Source organism: Homo sapiens, chromosome 15 (assembly GCF_000001405.40).
Source record: "Homo sapiens chromosome 15, GRCh38.p14 Primary Assembly".
Classification (NCBI taxonomy): Eukaryota; Metazoa; Chordata; class Mammalia; order Primates; family Hominidae; genus Homo; species Homo sapiens.
The window spans coordinates 79,184,816-79,211,990 of record NC_000015.10 but is presented as its reverse complement, the minus strand read 5'-3'; the positions used below and the strand labels follow the sequence as shown (position 1 = coordinate 79,211,990).

At 46.5% G+C, this 27,175-nt stretch overlaps 1 long non-coding RNA gene and 1 other non-coding gene across 2 annotated transcripts in view, besides 2 other annotated features; one reads left to right on the top strand and one right to left on the bottom strand.

Annotated features, from left to right (window-relative positions):
• The window catches only part of ANKRD34C-AS1 (ANKRD34C antisense RNA 1), a 92,239-nt gene extending 71,955 nt beyond the window's left edge, over positions 1–20,284 (top strand). The window contains exon 2 of the long non-coding RNA NR_038997.1: positions 19,889–20,284. This is a non-coding gene — a long non-coding RNA (ANKRD34C antisense RNA 1). The remainder of the gene's footprint in view (positions 1–19,888) is intronic.
• On the bottom strand, positions 2,120–2,203 carry MIR184 (microRNA 184). Its single transcript, NR_029705.1, has one exon. It is a non-coding gene; the product is annotated as a microRNA 184 (primary transcript).
• Positions 6,673–7,236: an enhancer, noted in NCBI's record as "H3K4me1 hESC enhancer chr15:79497097-79497660 (GRCh37/hg19 assembly coordinates)". NCBI's record gives its function as "activates a minimal SCP1, AML or CMV promoter by ChIP-STARR-seq in naive H9 embryonic stem cells {active_cell/tissue: H9 hESC(naive)}" and the evidence as "EXISTENCE:reporter gene assay evidence [ECO:0000049][PMID:30033119]".
• Positions 14,267–14,800: an enhancer, noted in NCBI's record as "OCT4-NANOG hESC enhancer chr15:79489533-79490066 (GRCh37/hg19 assembly coordinates)". NCBI's record gives its function as "activates a minimal SCP1, AML or CMV promoter by ChIP-STARR-seq in primed H9 embryonic stem cells {active_cell/tissue: H9 hESC(primed)}" and the evidence as "EXISTENCE:reporter gene assay evidence [ECO:0000049][PMID:30033119]".
• Positions 20,285–27,175: the final 6,891 nt, after the last annotated feature.

Below are 27,175 nucleotides of genomic sequence, written 5' to 3'. Positions count from 1 at the left end.
GGATTCAAATCCAGACTCTGCCCTCTACTGTGTAACCTGGTGCATGTCACTTAACCTCTGTGGAACCCAGTATTCTCAACTATTAAATGAGGATGATAATAGTAGTAATCATAGTAGTACCTAGCTCAGACTGTTGGTGTAAAAATTAAATGAGCTAATTAAAATTAAAAAGTAAAGTGTTTTGCACAGAGACACTCCTAGTAAGCCCTGAAGAAATGAGAGCTATGCTTTTGATTATTAATATTCTTATAATCCAAAGGATGATGCAGGATTTTTTAAATCTTTCCACATGTATGTTTTTGGACCAGTCCAAAAAAGAATTGGAAACACACTTATGCCGCATAAAGACAGAGTTATGAGGAACTATAAAAACAAAATAAAACCTTTGGAGAATCAACTGCAAAGACATGTATTCTGTTTTTATTATAGTTCTGAGCCCAACAGTGTCTCACCAGGTGACTACCTGAGATATCCAACATCATATGTCCACCAGAGGGTGGGGAACACTCAGCCCCTTTTTATCAACACCTTCACTGTCCAGCCAGCCCCTAACTGGCCCCTTTCTGTCTGAAGGAGGTGGCTGAGTCTCTGGGCCGGACTCTCCGCTCCTCCCAGCCGCCTCTGCCTATCCATCCCATGGCCACCTGAGCCGCTCTCCACACTCTTGAACCCAGAGCCAAGACACACAAGTGCTGAGTCTCATCAGTAACTGCAATCTCATGAAAGCACTCTTGGGCCTCAGTCACCTTGAAGAGCAGGAAAGGCTCTGAGGGGACATTCATTCCACCCATCATCTCAGGTTCCAGTTTGCTTTAAAGGAAACTGAGGCATCGTAAAAGTTAAAGACATGTGGAGGATCATACCAGAAGTTGAGAGCCCAGCCAATCTAAGTGCTGGGACTTTCACAGTTGTCAGGGGGCATTACAGCTGTATATTCAAAGCCTCAACTGTATCTTGCAATCACCTGGCACAGCTACAGTGCCCAGGCCACACCCTGGACCAATTAAATCAGAATCTCTGGGAATGAGATCCAGGCATCAGTATCAGATAGCCAAGCTTATATACTCCTGCATTAAAGTGAGAAGGCCCCCATGTGAACACTAAATGCCTTAATTCACATTATTTTTGCACGGTTCTCAAACCTACTCTTGCCCAGCCACATCCTGAAGATTCTGATGTAATTTGCCATGCATCAGGACCCTTCAAAACTCCCAGGTGACTCCAACAAGCAGCTAAGGCTGAGAACCACTGTGTTCATCTACCACCTTCATTTAACTTTAAAACTGTATTTACTCTTTAAGTAAAATCATAATATTTAATTGCAGAAAAGAAAAGAAAAAAGTACCTGTTCAGCTGAGATGCAATCCATTGCATGTTAATCTGTATTCACATTCCAGGAAATAGAAGCATTTGTAGTTACAGGAATTTTTATCTGTGGTTTTACATCTTTACACACAGGTGTATAGACTTGCTTATGTGTCAGTCCGTTACTGCAATGTGCCAATTAAGACATTTATTGAGTTTGATTTGGTATAAGTAATTATGAGTTATAAAAGATCATTCTGAATCAACAACGTAATAAATAACCATCTTTAATGTAATAGAATATAAGTTTAGTTAGAGTCATGAAACCTTCTGTCTCAGCACATGGTTCCTATAAACCGAAAAAGACAAAAGCATTTGGTGAGTAGCTGTCAGCTGAAGAAAATGTCTGGAAAGGGACTTTCCCTCAAATCAGACGGAAATTCCTGCTCTCCCTTTTTTTTTTTTTAAGCAAGAGTACCTAAAATTCCAAAAAGTCCTATACCCCTTTATTCACCTTATAAAGAAGTCTGTGGAATAAGCCCCCTTCCCTCACCAACCACCCAACCGCTTTTCTCAAGGGGAGACCCTAAACCCAGTCGCAGAGAGCACATTTTGAATAAGCAAAGTGGAGATCTCACTGACAAAACACAAAGGCTACCCCAGCATCCTCAGGCAGGGGGCGCATACCTGGGCCCCCTATGCCCAAGGTCTCCTCCTGGAATCCCCTGCTGTCCTCGGGCACCCAGAGCGGGAACGCCAGGTTTTCCCCATCACGCAAGTGCAGGCGGCGCGGGGGTTCCGGAGGCTGTGAGTGTCAATCACCTACCCTTATCAGTTCTCCGTCCAACACTTACAGTCACAAAGCTGGGCTGGAAAAGTGATAAGGGGACGTGACTGGCCGGCAAAGAAGTTTTGATGAAGCTTTGCAGGACAAGATGTAAATGGACGTTTGATTTCCCGGCGAGCCCTCCCCGCCCCCTCTCTGCAGTTCCTCCTCTGCCTCAAATTCAAAGCCCCTCTGTGCCCTTCTACTTTGCTCTGGCCTCTCGCCCCAGTCTCTCCCTCTGACACCTGGAGAGTCACTTATGTTTCTGCACACAGAAATTCAGACATGCAGCTCTGGACAGCTATGGAAAGTAATAGGTTCTTTGCATTAAAAAAAATCAATTAAAAATAGAAATTAATTTAAATTTTAAAATTAATAAATAAGCCGAAGTTAGTGAAGTCTTTACCCAGTGGCTCTTGCAGGTCTGAGGCCCCAGCCCAGCAGGTCCTGCTCCTCCCCAGGGCTCTGGGCTAAGCCCACACCCACATGCCATTCATAAAGTCCCTACAGCAAGTCTCCTCCTCCAACCAGGATTGGTCCTCCAGAGAGGCTGGCCCCAGGCCAGGACCCATCAGCCACAAATCTGCGAGCTGGATGTGTCCACTGTGCTGCGTGGCCTTGATGGGATTAGGCCAGGGTGGAGTTTGGTTCCAAAGGTAAGCGCGTTCTCATGTATCCAAGCTCTCTGCCCCATCATGTCAGATTCTTCCGTCTTAACTGTTTGACCTTCCACGCTGATTCATACAGAGTCTTTGAAAACCAAAAACTATTGACATGGCTTCAAATGTGGAGGTCTTAACATGATTCTGTGTATCGGAATGAAACCAAAGAAAACCCGTCCAGATTTCAGAAATGGATTTCTGTATAGTATTACACTGTGGGACGACCACCAACTTTGGATCCCATCTGCTTGCCACTTCCTGGTTGTGTAACCCTGAGAAAATTACTGAATCTCTCTGAGCCTTGATTTCCTGATATACTAAACAGAGATAGTACCTCCTTAACTCCCAGGATTGCTGTGGGAAGTAAGCGAGAAAACGGATGGAAAGAGCTTATGCTCACCCCTAGGTTTAAATCCCAGGTCAGCCACCTCCTGGTTACATAGCTTCAGCAGGTCTTATAAACTCTCCAAATCTCAGTGATTTATTCGGCAAAATGTGGGTTATAAAAGCTACCTCAAAGGGTTGTTTTGAGGATTAAAATATTCAATATAAGGTTAAGGGCTTGGTCTTTATAGTAAAACTGGTCTGGATTTAAATCCTGAATTTGTCATTTGCTGGTTCATTGACAGAGAATCACTCAGCCTCTCAGATCCGTTTCCAGATCTGCAAAATGGCTGTGATCACCCAAATTTACAGGGTTGTGGTAAAAGTTCAATTAGATGAGCTATAAAAAGCCCTTAGCATGGAGAATTTAAAAGATGTGTAGCTGATATCATTAACAAGAAAATACCACCATGGACAGTGACATTGACCCAGAAGATGCCACCAGGTGGCAGTTATTTCAGCAAATATTCTAAAAGGTGCATTACTTGGGTGGGCCACGTGGATGGATCCCCGAGGGTCAGGTCAGTCAAGTCTTGTGAGTGAGCTCCAACTCCATCTGCATCCTGTACAGAAGGCACTGATTACTCACAGGGTAGGCACTAATTACTTTGGAAATCAGCTCCTCAATCAGGACCAAGAGCTTATGCAGCTCCTGCCCTCTGTTTCTTGAAAGTGGAGTGTCAAGGGACCAAGTGTCCAGGGCCCAGGAGGACAAATGGAATCAGGAACTCTGGCCCATGGAGCGGTCAAGCCAATCGCAGATCATGAGGAAGTGAGTGCTTTGATGTTCAAAGAGTCCAGCTGTGTGGGAGAAGGGAAGACCCTGGTCTGTAGTCTGTGGTCTGAACTCCTCAGAGTCCTAAGGATGACCTCTTGGGGAAGCTGGAGCTGTACAGTGACAGTACATTTAGCCCAGCCCCCTTGTTTTACTGAAGGGAAATCAGAGCCCTGGTAGAAACTCAGCCAAGGTCCCAAGGAGGCAGCTCTCTGTCTCTGACCCTAGACCAGAGCACGTTTATAATACAGATCAAAAAGTCAGGTGTTTTCAGGAGGACATGGGAGGCCTCTGAACAGTGGGACAAGGAGAAACTGGTGCCTGGCTAACTGCTGGACTGCCAGGCCCAGGGGCCCAAATTACGCCAGAGAGAAAATGCAGTGGTTCATATCTTCTTCCATGAAAGCAACTGTACTGTCTATCTCAGGGCTCCTATAGTCCTCATCTTTACAACATGGGCCTCACTCTCTGTAAATACATACAGGAGCTTGGAAGTGGGAAAAGTACTCTGAGATGTTCAAACCTACAGAGTGTCTGTCCTCCACGTCCAATCTAAAAGCAAATGCTTTGGCAGGCAGAAGGAGCTCAATTTCAAAGGCTGCTTTCCTGTCGTCTTGCTTCCCTAGCCCAAATGATGTTCATATTTAGGTTTTTAAATATGGTCAGTTGCTTAATCTGTATATTTCTTATAACGATTCCATTGAATTCGTTTGCATGGGGCTTTTAAAAACTTGATTCAATTCAGTCAACAGGCATTGAAGAGACCATTTATTGCCAGGGACTGCTGTAGACATTGAGGGGAGAGGGCTGAATTCAGTCTCCACACTCAAGGAAATGAGCAGCTCCTGGCTGATACTGACCCACATGCCCTGGAGTGGAGAGGAGGGAAGGAACCCTAAGGCAGAGGGAGGAGCTTATGCAAAGGTGTGGAGCTGGGAAAGAGGCCTGACCAGGGAGCAGCAAACAGCCCAGGGTGAGTGACGCTGTGAAATGAGGCTGGAGACATAAGGTCAGGGCCAAGCACCACACCATGGACATCAGGTTAATTTGGGTCTTACCTGGCAGGCAAGAGGAAGCTCTGGGGTTCTGAGAAAAATCACATCTATTTTGAGCTGCTAAGACACGGGAAGGTTTGGAAAAAGATGGGCAGTGGAGGAACTGCTGCTCAAGGCAGGTAGGAGGTGGTAAGAGTTGGAATTAATGCTGTGGCAATGGGGACAGTGATCTTTAATTTAATTTTAAATTCAATATATTCTGGAAATAATGAAAGAATGCAAGTAATGATACTTCTATTTGAGTAGCATCTTCATGCCCCATGCTGGGCTCAGCTCGTCTCTCTATAGTATTTCATTTAATACTCTCAGGAACCCTGAGCAGTGTGTATTTGGGGTGGTCTTGACCCTTCTTAGGAGCAGCAGGTGTCATGGAAACAATCAAAGCAAAAGGAAGGATTTCAACTCGTAACGCTTCTCCAAGAGAATGAGCTCCATCATTCCGCATTCCAACATATCATCCAGATGGCAGTCAATCAAATGGCGACCTTTGGGGCATTTGCACAGCATGTGCCACACCCAGTACACCCACGGGCTGCAAGCTCAGGCTAGCCCTCTGATTGACCACCTAAGCGTTTACCCCATTTACTTTGTCCCCAACATTCCCTCCAAAACTCACTCCAACCCCTCTTTCATGGCTGGGTCATAAGACAATGTGCTGATCCACCTTAATTCAGGCTATTCATGGGCACCTGGCTTTTGTTTCTAAAATGTCATCAACACAAGGGGGGGGGCCCATGGCCAGGGCAGTCTGGAGGGGCTGCCCACATAGTTTCATCCTAGCTGGACCCTCTGCCCTCTGTGGTCAAGCACCAGATTTTCCCTTAGCTCACTCACTCTGTGGTCCCAGAGCTGTGACAATCTCCAGTGTCCCTCTCCTCCTTTTGTTATGTCTTCATGGATTTTTACTAAAGGATGTTCTAACACGACTCACGTATATATCATTGAAGCTTAAAAACCCTCTAAAATAAACCTTTATATGTTACATTATTTGACCTGAATTTTCCCACATCCAGCACAATATTTTTTTTAGGGACCAGTTCTACTCAGCGTGTCACCATCCTCTTCTTTTTACAGAATAGAAAACAGATTCAGAGATGTTCAGCAACTTTGTCCAAGGCTTTACAGCTCATCTGAATTAGAACCCATCTGATTTCTCTTGCATTATCTTCTCTCTCTCTCTCTCTAAATGCACAAGCAAATGAATGAGCATAACATTCAACATCTCTCACTAAGATTCCAAGTCATGCATGCCTTTTAAAATAATTTACTATTCATTAGCTCCAAAACCAAAGGACAGTCAAAGGAGGCAGGCTTGAAGGTGAAGCAAAATAATTGCTAAGCCACACCCTGTCCATCTTTCATGGGCACCTCGTCCAAAGAGTTACCATGAGGATCATCCCCTGTGCTTTCCCTAACTCCTTTGGCCTTGATTGACTCTGCGTGGGTTATGAAATCCCACCCTTCCAGTTCTCCGGCTGGGTGGTCTGTCACATTAGCTTTGCATCTCACATAATCCTTTCCTGCCGACTGACTGGTTCCACCACAGCCTGTCTGCCTGCCCGCTGGTAAGTTCCTTCTGGGCAGCGCTGAGGGTGACCTCAACCCTCCAAATCCCCGTCCCCCAAAGCTGGTGCAGTCCTGCTTCCCCATGGTTGGGGGATATAACGGGCTGTGGAAAGGACTGACTCAGGACAGGGAGAGGGAGGGAAGAGGACCGAGTGCTGAGCCCCTTTCCAGAGTAGACGCTGCTGCCTGGCCCCAGCTGTGTTCAGGGGCTATGACCGTCTGTCTCCTCCCTGGTCTCCATCCGGCTGGGCTCACTTCGCCCAGTTTAATGAGCTCAGGAATGTGCTCAGTTGAGACACTCAGTGTTTGATTTGGCCCTTTTGAGCTGAAACGTGCCCCAGGCTCTGCTCATCCACCTGCAGGATTGCACAGTTCAGTCATCAGAGAGCCAGTGGCAAGAGGCGAGCTATGCCAGGAACGGAGCTCAGAGCCTGCATTTAATATATTCTTAAGTATAATAAACATCTACCAGGCCTGGCCTGCAGAGATGCCACAGACCCACATTGGAAGCCAGGGAAGGCACATTTCTTTGAAGTTGGTTCCAGCTCAGCTATCAGCCTTCCCTACTGTCTTCACTGCAGAGCTGGAGGCAACAGCTCAAGAACCGCCACTCCCCTCTCTGGATATTGCTTGGTTCCAAGGGTCGTGGGCAGATCTGCCTCCACATGAAGCCCACATGCCAGTCTGACACTTGTCTAGAAAGCACTTTCTGAGTACCAGCATGTGCTGAGCTCTGAGCTATGTCCCTGCAGACACAGAGCTGGACCAAAGCTCTCGAGCTCAAGGGAGGTGGGCACATTCACTACACAGTCCCCACTAAAAGTGATAGGACAAACAGTAGAGGCACGGAAATGTGAACATAATTTCTAAGACAAACTCGGGATCTGGTTATGATTTTTGCCTAACTTGAGGCTTAAGTATATAAGAGAAGAAAAAAAAATTTATATTGGGATGGTTCCAGAAAATCTGGGTTGTAAAGCATAAAGTGGAAGAAGAGATCAGAGCTTGGGAAGATAACTATGCCCCCACCTGGACCTAGTTATCATCTCTGGCTCTGATCTCTTGTTCTACTTTATACTTACATTTGAAGTGGAGGCTGGGCAGAAGTGGCTGGAGAGGTGGATGGGCACCGATTTGGAAGGGTCTTGAAGGCCAGGCACAGGAAAAGGTTTCCTCTCCTAGAAGCCATGAGCCTGGAAGGATGAAGGATGTGAGACAGCATCTCCTGCACCTCCTTGTCCTTTGTTTATTCTCTGTGTCTTCCACTAGAACACAAACTCTGGGAGGGCGGGAAACTTGTCCGCCTGTTCATTCCTGCTTTCAAAGTGCCTAGAGCAAAGACTGCAGATAGTAGATGCTCAACAAATATTTGGTAAGTGAGTGAATAAGCAGGGAAATCATTTCCTTGCTGGGTCAAGAAGTGAAGGAGGCTGCTTGGGAATTTAAGTTTTTGTTAATACTGGCCCTGGTGCCAATAAATACACTTAAATTTAAAAAAAAAAAACCCTCAAAATCCAGTTTCCTATCCTTTTCTTCCAAAGCGTGCCAGCAAGTAGGTCTCCCCACAGGAGCCAGTCATCCTGGAGAAACCTGATTCTGTCCTCTGTCTCAGACAGTCCACAGTTCTTGGGATTTCAATTCTCAGATTAATCCTTAGCCGGCCCACTCTGCAAACCCAGAGTGGGCTGGCTTGTGAGATGGAAGTGGGTATGGAAATTAGACAGAAGCAATCCAGAAAGGTAGACTCTCCCACCAGGAAAAATAGACCCCATAAGATGGAGGCAGGTGGTTACTGAGGGGTTAGAAGACCAATGTTCAAGTCCCAGGTCTGTGCCTTATTCTCCAGAAGAAAGAAAACCAAAGGTAGAGATTTCTTTTCAGAAACCTCCATGCACAAGAAACCACCTCACTTCCACCATACCAGACACTCTGCTTCTACACTGGGTGCTTCTGAGTCATGGGTAACTCTCATAGCCTTGTTCTTTAAAGGCCCACCCCTCCATGCCTTGCTCTGGACACCTCAGCGGCTCCCATTGCCCCCACAGCCCCCTCCTGTCTCCTCTTTCCAACCCAGGGCTCTATACAGCCTGGCCCCTCCTCCTTTTTCCATATGTTGTCCATGATATCCTTGCATGAAGCTGAGGCCTCAGTCACATCAGACCATCCAGTGAAACCCAGATACACCCTCAACTTTCCCTTCTCCATACCTTTGACTATTCCAGTTCTATTCATATAAAGGTGCCTGCTCCATTCAAATTCAAAGCACTGCTCAGTTGCCATGCCCTCTAAGACACCTGCCTGGATCTTGACAGTCAGAAAGAAGGCCCTCTACTCTGTTCTGCCTAGCAGTGCATTCATACCTCTCTCCTGATCCTTATTCCTCTGCCTCTCACTGTAATTATATTTCACTCTGTCTTCCCTTAAAGGACAGGGCTGTCCCACTTTAAACAAAAAAACAAAACAGGATCTTGCTGTGTTGCCCAGGCTGGAGTGCAGTAATGTGATCACAGTTCACTGCAGCCTTGAACTCCTGGGCTCAAGCGATCCTCCCGCCTCAGCCTCCTGAGAAGCTGGGACTAGTGCCTCACTCTGAGTACCCCGAATGTTGAGTGTCCTGTCTGCCATAGTAGATGCTCACAAACACTAATCAAAGTGGGTGGTGTTGGTTCCTCTTCCTTGCACCCTTTTAAGATTTCCTTCCCCACAACAACGGTGCAGGCAGAATGGAGGAGAAAAGGTGAACCAATGGATCCTTGGCTAATTTACTCTGGCTAGCAGCATGTCAGTGGGAAAAGCATCAGGCCGTCCTCATTTACACAATGTCTACATGATGCTCCTGGCATCTAAGTTCCATGCATGCCCTGATTTCCACACCTGAACCCCTTCCTTATAGGATTTCCATCATTGTTCTCACCACAAACTCTGTAAGTTTATTCAATGTCATATGATTTCAACATAGACCTTTATATATCCTTCCCATGTCTCCAGCCTCTTGCTGAATGAGATATTTCCTTCTAATTCAATACAGTCTCTGTTTACCTGACAAAATGGGACATCAAAAGACTCCTAAACTTGTTAAACCCATGCAGAATCTCATGCAAAGTATATTTCTTATGCACTTTAATACAGTGAGCAACCAGGAAAATCGGAACAACGTGCCACATGGCATTAGCAGTAGCAGACGTTGTCAAAGCCCCACCCATATCCTCTGCACATGCTGTGCATGCCCACTGCAAACATCAGCAATGCTCCACCCAAGAGCTTTTCCTTGGCTTGTGCAAGGCGGGGCCGGGGGGTGGTTAGCACCCCTTGGGGGATAGATACGCCAGCGATCTCATCCTCAGGTGGACAACTCTGAGGTGTTTTTCCAGAAGCCTTCAGCAGGATTGCAGCCCAGCTGCCCACAGTGATGGCCTGCTCACCAGCACTCTCTGTGTTAGCCTCCTTCTCTGCCCCATCTCACTCCCCACCTCAATCTCCTGAATAAACCACTTCAAGTCCTTGTCTACAGATCTGCTTCTGGGAGATCCCAGCTTAAGACAATCTCTCTGTCATTTTAAATTCCTCCTATGGTCTGAATGTTTGTGCTCCTGCCTGCCTCCATTTCATATGTTGAAATTCTAACTTCCAAGATGATGGTATTAGGAGATGGGTAGGACCTTTAGGAGGTGACTAGGTCGTGAAGGCAAAGTCCACATGATTGGGATTCGTGTCCTTATAAAAAAAGATCCCAGAAAGCTATTTTGTCCCTTCTACCATGGGAGGATGCAGCAAGAAGGCACTGTCTGTGAGGAAGTGGGCTCTCACCAGACAGCAAATCTGCTTGCATCTTGATCTTGGGCTTCCCAGCCTCCAAAACTCTGAAAAATAAACTTCTGTTGTTTATAAACCACCCAGTTTATAGTATTTTGTTATAACAGACAAGACAACCCCTTTTGCCAAGAATATAGTACGTGCTTCTCCTCCAGGCCCTAACCCTTGTGTTTATCTGGAGCTGGCCAGAGGAAGATGGAAGGAATTCTAAAAGGATTCTCGGAGTAAAGACACTCAGAGCTGGCTTTCACAAATTATCAAATTTTAGACTTGTGATGACTGTAGGAGTTGGCCAAGTTCAAGTCCATACTTCTCAAGTGGGGCATCTGAAGATATGAAGGAAGTGATTTGTCCAAAGTCACCCACCAGGTTAATGACAGAGCTGGAGCTAAGACGCTAGTCTTGTGACTCTCAAGTTCAGGGCTGGGCTCTCTCTGCCATGTTGCTGTGAAAGGATTTAACCAAGTGACAAGTCCCTCCTAAGGTTACTGGCTAAATTTACTTTAAACAAACAAACAAACAAACAAAAACAAAGTTCTAACATTCCAACTCTCTCCCATAAACCCAGCAAAAACTTAAAATAGAAAGTACCTAGCATGTGTCATTTGACTTCAAAGCCATAGACAGTAAAGAGAAGCCAATTCTAGAAGCAATTATCTAGATCCCTCCCCAGAGGAGGTTTGCCCTAATAATAATCATTGAAATGGTAGTCATAGCTCCAGATCTCTTCTTAGTCTTCGTCAAGGAGACACAGGGCTTATGAGCAGAGAGCAGCCCAACCTCCAGTTGAGGAGCCCTGGAGGGAAGAAAAAGATATGGCTTGAGAAGATCTTATTCAAATGCTTGCATAGAGCACACTACACAAAATAATGCAACTTCTGGGCTCATCCAGAAGATCAAGGAAGAAAGCTTTAGAGGAAATGTGGGCTTATATTTCTAAAAGGCTGAGGAACATTACTCAGAGTGAGTGTGGGCCTGTAACTCCACTAACTGCCTACAGATCAGGGTCCCTCCATGTCCCCTCTGCTTTGTCCTGTCCCCAGTTGGACACATCAGAATTTCACAAAAAGATAACCTTCCCCTGCAGCACACAGGAGCTGTTTTTAGGTTTTGAACCTATCTGTGTTCAAGCAAAAGCATTTTTATTATGCATTGTGAAGGCGAAAAGTAAGCAAGCAAAAATCACATTCAGTCCAGGCCCCAAAATACGCACACAGCCCATGTACACACACAGCCAAGGTGTGGAAAGTGTGATTCAGCCTGGGAGGCTTCTCACCATATCTTCAAAGATGCTTGAAAACTGAAGACTGGATTAAAACGTTCCTACCCTTTGATCCTGCAATCTCCCTTCTTGGAAGCCCCATGCAAATAGCAGAAGATAGAAAAGAAAAAACTATGCACAGAGATGTTCCCTTCACCATTATGTATAATGGCCAAAACACTGGAATAACGAAAATGGCTGCTTTTAGAAATCAGGTGAAATAGGCCAGGCGTGGTGGCTCATGCTGTAATCCCAGCACTTTGGAAGGCTGAGGCAGGCGGATCACCTGAGGTCGGGAGTTTGAGACCAGCCTGACCAACATGGAGAAATCCCGTCTCTACTAAAAAATAAAAATAAAAATAAATAAATAAATAATACAAAAGAAATTAGCTGGGTGTGGTGGTGCAAATAAATAAATAAATACAAAAGAAATTAGCTGGGCATGGTAGTGCACGCCTGTAATCCCAGCTAGTCGGGAGGCTGAGGCAGGAGAATTGCTTGAACCCGGGGGGGTTGGGAGGTTGCTGTGAGCCAAGATATTTTTATTGCACTCCAGCCTGGGCAACAAGAGTGAAACTCTATCAAAAAAGAAAGAGAGAAAGAGAGAAAGAAAGAGAGAGACAGAGAGAAAGGAAGAAAGAAAGAAAGAAAGAAAGAAAGAAAGAAAGAAAGAAAGAAAGAAAGAAAGAAGAAAGAAAGAAAGAAAGAAAGAAAGAAAGAAAGAAAGAAAGAAAGAAGAAAGAAAAGAAAAATCAGGTGAAATAAACTGTGGTGCTTCCATTCTATGGGAAATGGTAATATTGGCCCCATTTACTGGATAATGTAGTGGTTTTAAAACATGTGTACACTTGGAAACAACCTAAGTGTCCATCAACAGATGAGTGGATAAAGAAAACATGGTAGGTACACACAATGGAGTACTATTCTGCCATCAAAAACGATGAGATCCTGTCATTTGCAATACCGTGGATGAAAGTAGAGGTCACTATGTTAAGTGAAATAATCCAGGCACAGGAAGACAAGCACATCACATGTTCTCTCTGATTTGTGGGAGCTAAAAATCAAAACAATTGAACTCATGGAGATAGACAGTAGAAGAATGGTTACCAGAGGCTGGGAAGGGTAGTGAAGGGGCTGGGGGGAGTTGGAGATGGTGAATTGGTACAAAAAATTAAAAGAATGAATAAGATCTACTATTCCATAGCAAAACAGGGTGACCATAGCCAACGATAATTTAATGGTACATTTTAAAATCACTAAAAAAGTATAACTGGACTGTTTGTAACACAAAGGATCAATGCTTGAGGAGAAGGATACCCCATTCTCCATGATGTCATTATTACGCATTGCATGCCTTATAAAAACATCTCATGTAACCCATAAATATATACACTTACTATGTACCCTCAAAAACTAAAAATTAAAAAAAAAAAGAGCCCACAGATTCTTTGACACTCACTCCATTAAGAGGTGGAGTCCATGTCCCCTCTCCTTGAGTCTGGATGAGCCTCTGTGGATGCCTCAATGAATAAAATGAGGTGGAAGTCATACTGTGTGACTCCCAGGGCTGGGATAAAAAAGGCCACAGAGCTTCTGCCAGGCTTTCTTGGGACACTTGCTCTGGGAACCCTGGGCCGCCACGTCAGGAGTCTGCCTGGAGGCCACCAGGCGGAGAGACCATGTGGAAAAAGGGATGCTTGAGGAGCCCCAGCTATTCCAGCCCCAGCTGTGTGAATCTCCCCAGCTCAGGAGCCAGACATGTGGGTGAAGATGACATTGAGAACACCCCAGCCCAGTCCCAGCCACTGAGTGACTGCAACCACCTGCGAGATCCTGAGAACCGCCGAGCTGAGCTCACTTAACTCCTGATGAAGAAAAATAAATTATTGTTATTCATTTAAGACACTGTTTGGGGATGGGTTGTTACACACCAATGAATAGCTGAAACAGAGAAATGGAGATTTACAAAGGTTTAGAATCATGCTCAAGGTCACATAACTAATAAGTGGGGAAGCCTGAGCCAGCATCTAAACTCAGGTCTTCAGCAGGGGAACTGGGACAAGAGTATAGTCTACTCGGCTGCAACGTAAGATAGCTCATACTAACTGGTGAGCAGAACCAGTGAGTGGAAGAAAGTTGTTGCTCTGTTGCAGAGCTCGGGTTCCTACTCAGCTTTTCCTGACATATCGATGTTTTGCACCGACAAGTTTGCAAAATGCACTAAAGCAGCCGAATGCTGCAGGCTGCAGAGGGAAGCAGGGCTGTGTGCAATGCCCATTATGGTGATCACTTTCTCTTGGCTCAGTTTGCCACATGGGCTCTTTTTGAAATTTTATTGCCTAATCCTCCCTGGCATTTGTGTATTTTGCCTTGGACTCCTTACCTCAGCAGCCTCAACCCCTCCTAACATCAGATCAGAAGTGCCTGTACAATGATGCCTGCCCTCAAAGACAGGGCTGACACTCCCCAGTGTCCCACAGTCCCTGTCTGGTCACTATGGTCCCTGTCATCCCCACTACTTGTCTGGCCCCTGTAGACATTTCCATTTGCAACCCTTGGCTTAAGATACCAAGAAGTTCTTCACGATGGAAATGCATTCATCTTTGCTTAACTCTGGTGTTCTCTGCTGGTTTGATCACATAATTAACTCTTCCCCCATCCCCTCTCCTATTTAATGCCTGCTGCAACATTCTTAGTCCTTGGCAGGCACAGTTTAGGAAAAGCTGGACTGTGTGACCATGGCAGCCTCTTCTAATTCTACTATCAGCACCTGGTCATTAACGGATTCAAGCTTTGGTGAGCTAGAGCCATCCTAAGGCATTCGCGGAATCTCTGGCTGCCCCCTTCCAGCTCCCAGTCTGCTGCCTTTACAATGCGGGAGTTAACGACCACTGTTACCCCTGCTGCTCCTCTTCCATGAGGATTTAGTGTCTCATACCCTTCTGTTTATGACATGAACTATCCTTCTGATGGTTAGGGCGCCCCTGTCCACCCAGTTCACCCTGCAAGCCACTCCAAGTGTCCTTTAAAAGGATGTGTATAACAAGAATGGATATCGGACTCGTGTGTTCAATGTAATTTAGTTGTCTCTGGGGATCAAAGAGCAAGACCACGTACTTGTAGCTGATATAGGAATAACAGCCCTTCATCCTAGAAAATGCCCACCCTGAAATAGGAAAAAAGGACTCTGTGGTGAGTTGAATTGTGGCCTCAGAAAATATAAATATGTCCAAGTCTTGACCCTTGGTACCTGTGAATGTGACCTTATTTGGAAATAGAGTCTTTGCAGATGTAAGTAAGTTAAGGCTCTTGCGATGAGATCATCCTTTATTTAGGGTAGGCCCTAAATCCAATAACTGTTGTCCTTACAAGAATAAGGAGAGGGAGATTTAAGACACACAGAGAAAAGGACCATGTGAAGATGGAGGCAGAGGTTGGAGTGGTGCCTCAACAAGCCAAGGGAGCCCCAAGCATGGCCCCAGCTGCCACAAGCTAGGAGAGAAACAAGGGACAGTTTCTCCCTCAGAGCCTCCGGAGGGAACCAATCCTGCCAACCCTTCAATCCTGAACGTCTGGCCTCCAGAACTGGGCGAATAAATTTCTATTGTTTTAAGCCACCAGATTTATGGTCATTTGTTACGGCAGTCATGGGAGACGAATACAGACTCCAGCGGCGGGTCTCAGAGGAGGAAAAATGGCCTCATCTCAGGGGCCACATGGCTGTGGGGAATAAGGGAGGAGTAGAGGGGGGCCCTGCTGAATGCCTGCAGGGTGGGGGCCAGGCTGGGAAGTCCCCAGGGAAGGACCTTAAAGATTAGCATCTTTGTAAGTGACGTCCTAGGCCGTGCTTCTTTTTTTTTTTTTTTTCATTCATGCATTCATTTTATTTTTTTCTCTTTATCCATTCATCTATTTTTTTTTAATTTTTTTAATTTTATTTTTTTAAAATTTTATTATTATTACACTTTAAGTTTTAGGGTATATGTGCACAATGTGCAGGTTTGTTACATGTGTATACATGTGCCATGTTGGTGTGCTGCACCCACTAACTCGTCATTTAACATTAGGTATATCTCCTAATTTTTATTCATTTTCACTCAACTCTCAGGAAAGCCTCATCAGTAATTAGGGCCTGGAGCCAGCTGTGCAGTTTGGGAAGTTGAGAGGAGAGCCTGAGGAGTGAAAAGGGAACACAGTCCCTCTCCCCTGAGTTCAGGGTGGCGGGTGCAGGGGAATCACTGGAATGGTGGAGGCTTCCAAGAAGAGGACCTCCCAGGGTCACAACCCCAGAGGCAGCCCCGAGCACAGGAAGAGGGACCAGGGTGCAAAGCCTTGACCGGCACCACCCTCTGAGCAAACAGGGAACTGCACCCCAAGGAACCCCCAGAAATAGGGCCATCGGACCTCTTCAGGGGAGTCTAACATCACAGGCAGTAGAGCTTTTATCCTATTTTCGTTTGACTAGTTAAAAGGAATGTGACCTTATTTTGCAGTCATAGGCTGGTGAAGCCCAAAACATTCAAGATAAGTGAATATGCCTGCAAAGTTTCCCCAAATAGCCAGGAAATTAGCACCCCCCAAAATAGCTGTGTGAGAGCGACGAGCAGGGCATAGCCTTGCTGCCTCCTTTCCTCCTCCTCCATTTCTGTCTTCTTCTCTCCCTCTTTCCCTCATCTGCCATTTTCTTCTCTTTTCTCTTGCTCCATTCCTCTTTTTTCTTCTTTCTGTCCTACATCCCTTCCTTCCACCTTCCAGACCCTCTCCTCTCCTCTCTCCCCATTTCGCAGGCTCCAAGCCCACAGCATACATTTCCCAACGGCCCCAGCAATTTCCCTGCAGGAGTCCCTTCCTGTCTTCACTTCTCTGTGGGTGCTGGCTGAGCAGCTAGCAGCGTGGCCTAGGGCTACCCATCAGGAAAGCTTCTGTGGGCACATGCTGAGGAGGGAGGTGCCCTGCAAGGACAGCTCCTCTTATTTTAAAAATGAGGTCGTAACATTCTTTCATTCCACTAACACCCCTGGCTAGGGCTTAGAGTGCCTACTGTGTGCCAGCTCACTGCTGCTGGGGAGCAGAAAGCTATGGTGAAAATATGTCCAGGAAGGTATGCTGTGCAGAAGGGAGACATCCAACCCTTTAGGGGGTTGAGAGCAGGGACAATTTATCCTAGGAGAGGGTGACCATATATTGTCATTCATTGTCCAGCTCAGGACACATTTGAGAGTGGTGATTTCACAGGGGCATCACCCTAGAAGATTGTTCAGGGGGTCCCCATTTGGAAGATAATGATACTGCAATTCAGACAAAGTGAACAGCATGAGGGGCTGCAAAACACTTTACAGGTTTTGGGTCATGCCTGTCATCAGGTGCAGCTGATGTGAGTTTGGAGAGATGATGGGATGGGAGACTGGACAAGTCAGTTTGGAGTCCATCTTTAAAAAGTCTTGAATGTGAAGCCAAGAGTTGTCTTTATTCCTCAAGGATTAAATACAATGATTTTTTTTTAATTTTTACTATTACATCAACCGGACCATAAAAAGGATATAAAAGAAAAAGGCAAAAAAAAAGCACACATCATATCAATAGATGGCAAAAAGTATTTCATAAAATCTAATATTTACTACTAATGATGAAAAAAATACTGTGGGGACTAAGATTAGAAGAATGCTTTCGTGAGATACTAAAATATCTATCCAAAAATAGCAATCAACAGGAAACACTGCAGTTGTTACCATTAAAATAAGGACTAAGACAAGAACACAGCCGGTCCTATTGTTGTGAAACATTGTTCTGAAGGGCTTGGTCAATGCCATAAGGCCTGGTAACAAATCGGATGCAAAATTATAAGAGAGAAGATGACAAAACTATACTCATTTTCAGGCAATATGATTTTCTACCTGGAAAAAAAATCCATTCAAGTTTAATAAAGTTGATTGTTCTATAAAGAATATATAAATATCAATAACATTCCTAAATATCATCTATAATTAGAAAATATGATGGGAAAATATGCTATACACATTTCATATGAATATATGTATATATAGGTATGTGAATGTGTATATATGAAAATAAACTTAGTAAGAAATATGTAAGTCCTATAAGAAAAAAATGCTAACATTCATTGAGAAAGTCAGGGGAAGACTTTATTTATTTATTTAGAGACAGGGTCTCGCTCTGTAACCCAGGCTAGAGTGCAGTGGCACCATCATAGCTCACTGCAGCCTCAAACTCCTGGCCTCAAATGATCCACCTGCCTCAACCTCCCAAAGTGCTGGGATTACAGGCATGAGCCACTGTGCCCAGCCAGAAGATTTTAATAATTAGAAATATAGGGCATTTCCTTGAGGCAGAAGATTATATTATAAAGATGTCTAATCCCAATAGAAATCATAACCAAATTTTATAACACTTATTTTTAAAGTTTGTACAATGAAAAATGAGTAAAGAAAAAAAACAAGATAATATCCGAAATACAAAAGCACTGAGAGGTAACTGAGCTTATAATGTATCAATATGCCCTGCAAAGCTTCAATACTTAAAACAGTGCACTGTCAATGTGAGAAACGACAAATCAATGGAAAGTCCTGAAATGGCTGACTGTGCACATAAGTAACAAAGCAAAATATCTACATTTTCTGTCAAACTCTGGTGGGATTTTTGGAAGCTACAAAAATGCCAAAATGGCAGGCAGCTCCAAGTGATGGAGACTTAAACCTGACCACTATGTTAAGGCTGGCTGGTTTTTCCTTCTGGCATAATTTCCTGAAATGACCCTTCAGTCAAGTAAGCACCAAGTCAATACTGGGGGACAAGATGTGTAAAACACCAGTGTGGCAGAAACAATGGCATCCATCAAACATCCATCAGCCTCCTGCTCATCCCCACCACCACCTCCTTGCCAGCTGCCTTATTGCCGGCCAGAGCCATGTGACCAGCTCTGGCCGGGGCTATGGCAGAGAGTGACAGGTGCTACTTTCAGCCTAAAACCTAGAAGAGCCTGGTGTGACCTTCCAGATGTCTCTTCCCCTGCCATGGCAACCAAGGAAGCAAGTATTTAAGAGAATGCCGTCCGTCACACAGTAACAAAGCCTCCGTGACTCGCTCCCTGTGTGGAGTGGAGTCTCCTGCTGACCCTTAATGGACAGGCAGTGTGAAGGAAAAATGAACCCTTGTTGTGATAGGCCACTAAAATACTGGGATTTATGAGTGACTGTAGGAGAACCCAGCTTATTCTAGAACCCAGCTTATTCTGACTAACACCACCAGTCATCTGGATGTTGGCATTTCAGAGCACAGGTTCCAGCACATGCTGCACAACAGAATCATCTGGGAGCTTTTTGAAAATGCCAGTTCCTGGGCCAACCCTTTAAGAGCTTCTGACTCTGTCGCTCTGAGTGTGGCTCGGACATCAGTCATTTCAAGTGTTCCCCAGGTGATTAATTGTACTGTGCAGCCGCAGTTGAAAAACCGCAGCTGCCTTTCTTAAGAAGCTCTGTGTCGTGTCGGGTAATGTTACATGTGGTTCGTGTTTGAGTGAGCATCTGCTCTGCAGACTTGGTTCTTCCCAGGCACCAAGAAGCATTCCTGTGTTTTCCACTGGATTGGCACTGTCCTGGGCTTGCATACAGTTGCTGGTGCTTGAGAAGCTGTGTGTGTGCCTTTACGAAGCTTAGATAACAGGCAATCTGAGGCTGGGGAAACGCCATCTTTGCCCTGTGTTAGAGGCACTTCTATAAATAGGCAAGCAGAGCCTGCAGGTGGGAAATTCAACCTGGAATGTGCAGTCAATGTCCTGCACACCAAGCATTCAAAACTAAGACCCTCTTGGCTTTTGGAGGCAGGCTGATCTCACATTCCTGTATTCTGATGCCACGTCCCTACTGGGGTCAGGAGAGGAGCCGACACTGTGGGCGGGATTTCTGTTGAAGACAGTGACCGTTTCTGCTGTCACCATCAGCCTGGGACCAGGGTGTCAGGCATGGAGTCTGGATTCTAGGGACTGCAGACGGCTTATGAGGCTCTCACACTGCGAAGTGAGGCCCACGGCCTGAGAGAGGCCCAGTGCTAGGCAAGGAGACCATCACATCAAATCACAACTCTCTGTTGTGAAACTTGATCCTGAAAGTTTTGTATAGTCTCATCAAAATTTACAAGCTGGTTTCTGCGCCACTTTGGAAATTAAGGGGCCCTGTGCTTGCGATGGAATCATAAAGGATGTCTCCTCTCTTGTCCCCACCCCAGGCCTGCACAGTGGCAGCAGCTGTGGCCAGAGGGACACCAGTGGACACAGAGGCCCAGGGAGAGGAGCAGAGGCCAGCAGGAAACAGCAAATGCAGAGGCCCAAAGTGACCAGGACACCGTCCTTGTGCACATCCTGGGAGGAGCCGACGTCTAAAGAAGGGCTGAAGCCTGAAAATCTGGCATGACTAGAGCTCAAAGTCATGGCTGCTTGGGGCACTGTTAGAAATGTGCCTCCTTGTGTTCTCCCAGTGATGTGATAAAGGTGGCATCTCACTGAAAAGGACCAGGGTTAGGAGGGCTCAGGAGCTATGGGGTGGCCCAGGGACAGAGAGCTGCTCATCAAAATCAGTGTCAAAGCTGCATGTGCAGCCCTGGTGCTCGGGGGGCTCTGGTGCAGGGTGTGCTGTGGCGTTCCTCGACGACGATGTTGCTTTACTGGGGGAAGTATCCTGGTACTGGCAGGGTCAGAAGAGGGTAGTGAGGAGTGTGGTGCTTCTGGGAGCCATGTGAATTGAAGTGGAATAATTAGCCAGGCATGGTGGAGGGTGCCTGTAATCCTAGCTACTCAGGAGGCTGAGGCAGGAGAATCACTTAAACCTGCGCAGAGGCTGCAGTGAGCTGAGATCACACCGCTGCACTCCAGCCTGAGCGACAAGAGTGAAACTCGGTCTCAAAAAAGATATAGATAGATATAGATAGATACAGATGATAGATAGATAGATATCTGAAAGATTCACAGAGAGTAAATGACAGTGTCCAAACAAAAAGTGTCCTTTCCGCCCTTGCACAGTGCCGCCCCCATTCCAAAAACTCCCTTTCCACTGACCTGCTGCCTGTGTGCATTGTAATCCAGCTCACTCTCTCCCACTCAGAGCTGCCAGGCAGGGCTACAAACACAGGGCACGAAGCTGCCGTCCTCCCTACCTGGCCAGTGGCAAACATCACTAAACCCAGCCACCCTTCCCACCAAACCTGCCCGAGGCCTTGGGCTTCTTCCCATCACAGCGGTCCACACAGCCACCGCCTGCCAGTCAGCATTAGTTACAGCCACCTGACGCTTGTCTTCAAATCCAAGAGAGAGGTGCAGGTCAACTGTGACCCTGGGGCCGAGGCCAAGTCAACCACACCCATTTGTTTGGGTATCACCTATGCTGTGCTCATACTGCAAAGGCCAAGTTGAGCAGTTGAGACAGAGACTGTGTGGCCCACAAAGCCTAAGATATTGACCACCTGGCCCTTTACAGGAAAAGCCTGCCAACCCCAGTTAGAAGCAAAGCATGCTCAAATTTGTATTTTTTTTCCCAGAATAAGATTGTCATTAAACTTATAAATAGGGTTTCTTAACCTATTCACACAGTGAAATGCAGACAGCCCGAGAGTTGTTATCTAAACTAAAAAAGAAGAGAATGGGAAAACCTAATTATCCTGGATGTCACATGCTGACTCCAGGGGTGACTATACTTTAGTTGACTCAACCTTGGTTTGGAAACTTGCTTTCACTCCCTCCCTGGAGTCAGAAGCCTTCCCAGACAGCATGTTCTCTGGTCTTGGTCTTCGAAGCTACGGGGAGTTGTGCCAAGGAAGCTCACCCTCCACAGGCCTAGAGCACGACGATGCCAGGGTCAGGTGTTGCTAACAGCCCTTCCCTCTCTTCCACCTCCTCAAGCCCCCTCCCCAGGAACAGTGGAGGGAGAATGAAAGAAGGCACAGTTTCACCTTCTCCATCTGCCTTGGAAGCCGCAACATCTGCCTTCCAATTAGGATGGAGTTACCGGGGTGACGGGGTTGGCTAGCAGGCCCCTCGGCTCCTGACTCCTCTGGGGCAGCCCCCTGCTCTAATGAAGAGCTAATTAACATGAAAAGCATTGATTTAGCCAACTGCTGCTTGTATAATCACAAGGCACTCTCAGCAGCAGCTTCAAAGCTGTCTCTCCCTTCAGAACACAGGATTCGCATAAAGCGTGGGACTAAACCCTCCCCGTGTTTTTAAACAGTGATTTCCCCACACTCCTGAAGTGAAAACACCAGCTCTGTAAGTCGACCACGTAGGCGCCCCTCTCGCTGCCTTCAAGGGGAACTCTGGTGGGTTTGGTAAATGTTAGTACTTGCCCGTGTGACCCAGAGATTGGGTTAGGAATCAGGTTCCATCTTCTCTCCTGGCTCACAAACGTGTGTGTTGCCAAGAACTAGTAGGAGGCCATGGCTGTGCTCTAGCTGTCTCAACAGAGAAGTAGCTTAAACCCTTACAGTGAGGGGTGGGGTGCCTTAACTATAAGGAACAAAGGCATGAGAGGCCTCTAAGACAACATCTGCATGGATTTGTTTGACTCCCTCATCCCAAATGATGATCATTCATCTCCCTGATCATCCATGTGGGAAAGTTTGAGGCCAGATACCAGCTCGAAGCAAGACCAAGAAATTCAGGCTCTGGCTTGGTAGACTTCTGAGGTAGAGTGCCGTATGAACCATACTTTTACTGTCTGAAAATTGATCTTTAACATCTACAGGATGGCTACTAGCTGCTCCCATGTAAACCCTGCAGTACCCGAAAACATCCAGAGACTTTAGATAGCCCCCAAACCAGCCACAATGGATGGGATTTTGCAGGGGCACCACCTCCAAACATAGCGGGCCAGTCTGCCTTATGGCCAACCCTTGTGTTCCAGTGGCCCAGCTTGGTGTGCCATGTTCTCACCAAAGGACTATCAGTGTCATAAAACTGTGAAACTCTTTCTAGTTTCTCTCTTGACCTGCATCTGACCTCAGCAGACTTCACCCAAGGTAGCATTGGTTAGAAGAAAGCAAGTGGAGCCCATGATTCTAAAACTGTGACGACGGAAGGGTCATTCATCAAAGGTTTTGACTGAAGGAAGTGAATTGGAAGCCAAGGGAAAATTCCAAGAAAGAAAAGGACTTAACTGAAAAAAGGTCATTATAGACTCAATCCCTTTCCTTTATTTATAAGTTTAATAGATTAGTTTGGAATTTGTTGAAGATACTTTTCATCCAGATTTCAGGGAGGTACATAGCATGGTAACCCTGTGAAGACATTGGAGCAATGGATAGTTATACATCCAGGTAGATCGGAAACCAGTTCAACAACTCTAGCCAAAGGCTATTGATAAAAGACAACTGACATCTAGAAGGAGGTCAGAGCCACTAACTAGACGGTAGCTGTGCCTTGGATGAAGCTTATCTAATTTGCAGCTGTCATGAAGTTGAGTACAATACTGAACAAGTCGACGACAGACTCCTCTGTACGGCAGCATCACTTTGTCATTAAGCACACAGACTCTGAGCTGAATCTGCCCAGGATCGGATCCCAGCTCCAGCACTTACTAGCTAGTTATGTTTCGCAAATTACTTAGGCTGTGAGTATTAGTTCCAACACTCAACTGAGCCTCTCCCTCATTAAACCAACAAGAGAATTTAAAGGGATTGTATAGGCCAGGTAAGGTGGCTCACACCTGTAATCCCAATACTTTAGGGGGCCAAGGTGGCAGAGTCGCGGGAGTCCAGGAGTTTGATGCCAGCCTAGGAAACATAGTGAGACCATGTCTCTAGTAAAAATAAAAATAAAATAAAAATGTAATTAGCTAGGCATGATGGCACACCCTTATAGTCCCAGCTACTCAGGAGCCTGAGGGAGGAGGATCAAGGATGCAGTGAGCCGTGTTCATGCCACTGCACTCCAGCATGAGTGACAGAGCAAGACCACATCTCTTAAAAAAATAAGAAAGAGGGCTGGGCATGGTGGTTCACACCTATAATCGCAACACTTTGGGAGGCTGAAGCGGGCAGATCATTTAAGGTCAGGAGTTCAAGACCAGCCTGGCCAACATGATGAAACCCTGTCTCTACTAAAAATACAAAAAAATTAGCTGGGTGTGGTGGCACAGCTACTGGGAAGGCTGAGGCAGGAGAATCACTTGAACCCAGGAGACGGAGGTTGCAGTGAGCTGAGATCCAACCACTGCACTCCAGCCTGAGCAACAGAGTGAGACTCTGTCTCAAAAAAATGTAAAAATATAAAGAAAAGAATAAAAAGGATAGTATCTGTAAAGTGCCTGGAACAGAGTTAGTGTTCAACAACTGTCAGCAGTGTTGTTAGCTGAGGCTGGTCACTGGGTGACTGTAATATCAGTCAGGGTCTCAGTGATAACAGAAAATACACTCAAATTGGGATAATGTGAGGATGGATTGCTTTCTAAAGGGACTATTTACAAAGGTGTGCTTGAGATTTAAAGAATCTGAAGATAGTGCTATAACCCAGGGTAGCAATTGCAAAGCCATTACCACTCCTAAGCCTAAGGGCCGAGGGGAGGAAGCAGTTGTTAAAACCCAGAGGGAGAGAGAAGCATAGAAAGGAGGCCACCAAGGGAAACAGTGTCCTTTGGTTGAAGGACACAGGTGACCACCCTGGGAGGAAGTGAGCGGAGTAAACACCCCCACCCTCTCTCTGATTCCAGCTGGAGCACCCATTGGCCAAACCCAACAAGAAGCGCAAGAATGGGTGAGCCTGGCCATACAGGTCAGTTTCTGGGGCAGAAAGCGGGGTGGAAAAAGGTGACAGTGGGTCTGGAGGGACAGAAAGACACCTGGTACGAGCATGTTACATTTGTTGGGGACAAAGTTAAAATCCTGCCTGTCATTTCAATGAAGCGACTACAACAATATTCAGGATGGCAGATATTTAAGAGCAGCATCTAGAAACAATGATTAAAAGGGTTCAGTCGGCTACAAGTCCAATATTCAGCCATTCATTCATTTACTCAGCAAATGCAGGGAATGCACACTGTGTGTCCAGACCTGCACTAAGCATGACAATACAAAAATAAACAGAACAAGAATGTATCCTGAGCAGAGGACATACTGGCATACAGTCGGTGCTCAGTGAATATATGTGGAACATGTGAATGAATCAACTTCATCGTAATGGACTGTCTTCATAGTCCAATATGGACATAAGATGATTTGGTGGCAGCAGTGACTAGGGGAGGGGAGGCGGAGGGCAGGGACAGGTAGTATCAGACCCAGTCACAATGCTTGTTGAAGTGGTGGTAAGGGGATTGGGAGACTCTCTTCTAGACAGAAATGCGGGGCATGTCCAGGGCCCTGGCTCCCTCAGGTCCCATGTGCAAAAAGAAGCATGACATCCAAAAGCTCGATGGTTTCCCAAATGCCCAGGGAAGCCCCAAGTGCGAAGGCTGGCAGGGAGGTCAAGCCAGGTGAGTGGCGGCAGCCAGTCTCCCCTCAGCTGCCATGGCCGGTGGGCCCGGAGCACAGGGAGGGCAGGCACCAGGCTTGTGCAAACTCCAGCTCTCAGGCAGGTGTGATCCTGTTGTACCGTGTAGGGAGGGGTCCCTGAAAACTGTCAGTCTGAAGGCCCTGGAGGGGAGGTGTGGACTTCCGCATGGGTGATTCCCAAGCCCAGCAACAGAGCAGAGCAGGGTGTGGTCCAGGGAGTGTCAGGGTCAGATTCTGGGTCACCATCACCACCCCAGGAAAAGAGAAATCCAAATAGCAAAAATAAAGAAGAAATGGGCAATTTTAGCTGATGGGGGGCAAATGGAGGTTTCTTGGGGGAAGACAAAGAGGCTGTCTTCAGACCTCCAAACCGAGTCTGAAGGCCAGCTGGGGCAATCGCTGGGGCAATCGCTGGGGCAATCGCTAAATCTGCCTGCTTGGAAGCAGCATCAGCATCCGAGAGCTACCGTGCCTCCAGCCCAGGTCTGAGGTGTGAAGGCCTCCTGAAGCCCTGAGAGCCACTTTTGGGAAACCTCTCCAAATCCTGCACATGCTGCAAGACATGATTAAAACCCAGCCCAGCCATCTACAGGTTTTATGATTTGGGGCAAGTCAGTAAATGTCTCTGAGCCTCAAAGTCTGCAAATATCTAATGGGAGTAATCCAACTTCCCAGGGTTATTGTGAGGATCAGATGAACTCGTTATGGTAAAATACTTAGCACAGTACCTGGCACAGATTAGAGACCCAAGGGCTAATGCCTTTCTCCTCCTCCTTCACCTACTGCTTGATGCTTTGCAGAAAGCAGTGGTTCCGAAAGCAAATGGGGCTTTAAGAGTGAGGGTGGGACAACAAGACCATCTCTGTGGCCTAGAAGAGGCCGCATCATGGGGACTAGCGTCCTCCCAGTTCTGCCAGTTGTTCTTCCTGTCTTTGAAGTTCCCCAGGGACCACGGTGAGCCTATCCAGGCAAGAAAGCCCAGGCAGACTGGGCTCAGTGGCTCACACTTGTAATTCCAGTGTTTCGGAAGGCCAAGGCAGGGGGATCACTGAAGCCCAGGAGTTCGAGGCCAGCCTGGGCAACATAGGGAGACCGCTGTCTCTACAAAAAAAAAAAAATTAAAAAATTAGCTGGGCATGATGGTACACGCCTGTAGTCCCAGCTACTTGGGAGGCTGAAGTGGGAGGATCATTTGAGCCTGGGAGGTGGAGGCTGCAGTGAGCCATGGTCATGCCCCTATACTCCAGCCTAGGCGACAGAGCAAGGCCCTGTCGAAAGAAAGAAAGAAGAAAGAGAGAAACAGGTAGGGAGGGAAGGAGAGAAAGAAGGAGAGAAAGAGGGAGAGAGAGAAAGAAAGAGAGAGAGAAGGAGAGAGAGAGGAAGGAAGGAAGGAAGGAAGGAAGAAGGAAGGAAGGAAGGAAGGAAGGAAGCAAGCAAGCAAGCAAGCAAGCAAGCAAGCAAGCAAGCAAGGAAGGCCGGCCCAGACAGCGCCCTCAGCTGGTGGAGGTTTGCAGAGTTCCAGGGCTCAGCTACCAGCTTCTGGTCCCTACCTGACTCAGGGCTGCTGGGGACTGAGGAGCATCTCCTTGGCCGTCGAATGCATGTACCTGGAGAGCTTTTGCTTTTCATTTTCCTCCGGCCCTCTTAGCACGTCTCCACGCCACTGTCGAGCTGGATGCATCTGCCAAATGTAAATCCTCCGGGTTGTCTGAGTGAACAAGCATTCCAAAGGGGAAGCTCCTAGAATTCCTGGGCCCTGGTTGCCCTCAGAGCTCATCTAGACCAGAGAACGCTTTCAGAGGAACAGCCCTCTCTAAGAAGGCAATTAAAGCTCCACTCTTCCCCTCCAGAACTGCATAATTATACCTTGTACAAACACACACACACACAAAATTCTTAAAATTTCAAGTGTTTCACAGAATTCCCAGCCATGGATCCATAGATCTCAAGTTAAGAACCCTGGATTCACCTAACCCCCTCAGGTTGCAGATGTAGGAGCTGAGGCCCAGAGAGGGGAAAGGACTTGGATGGCCAAGATCA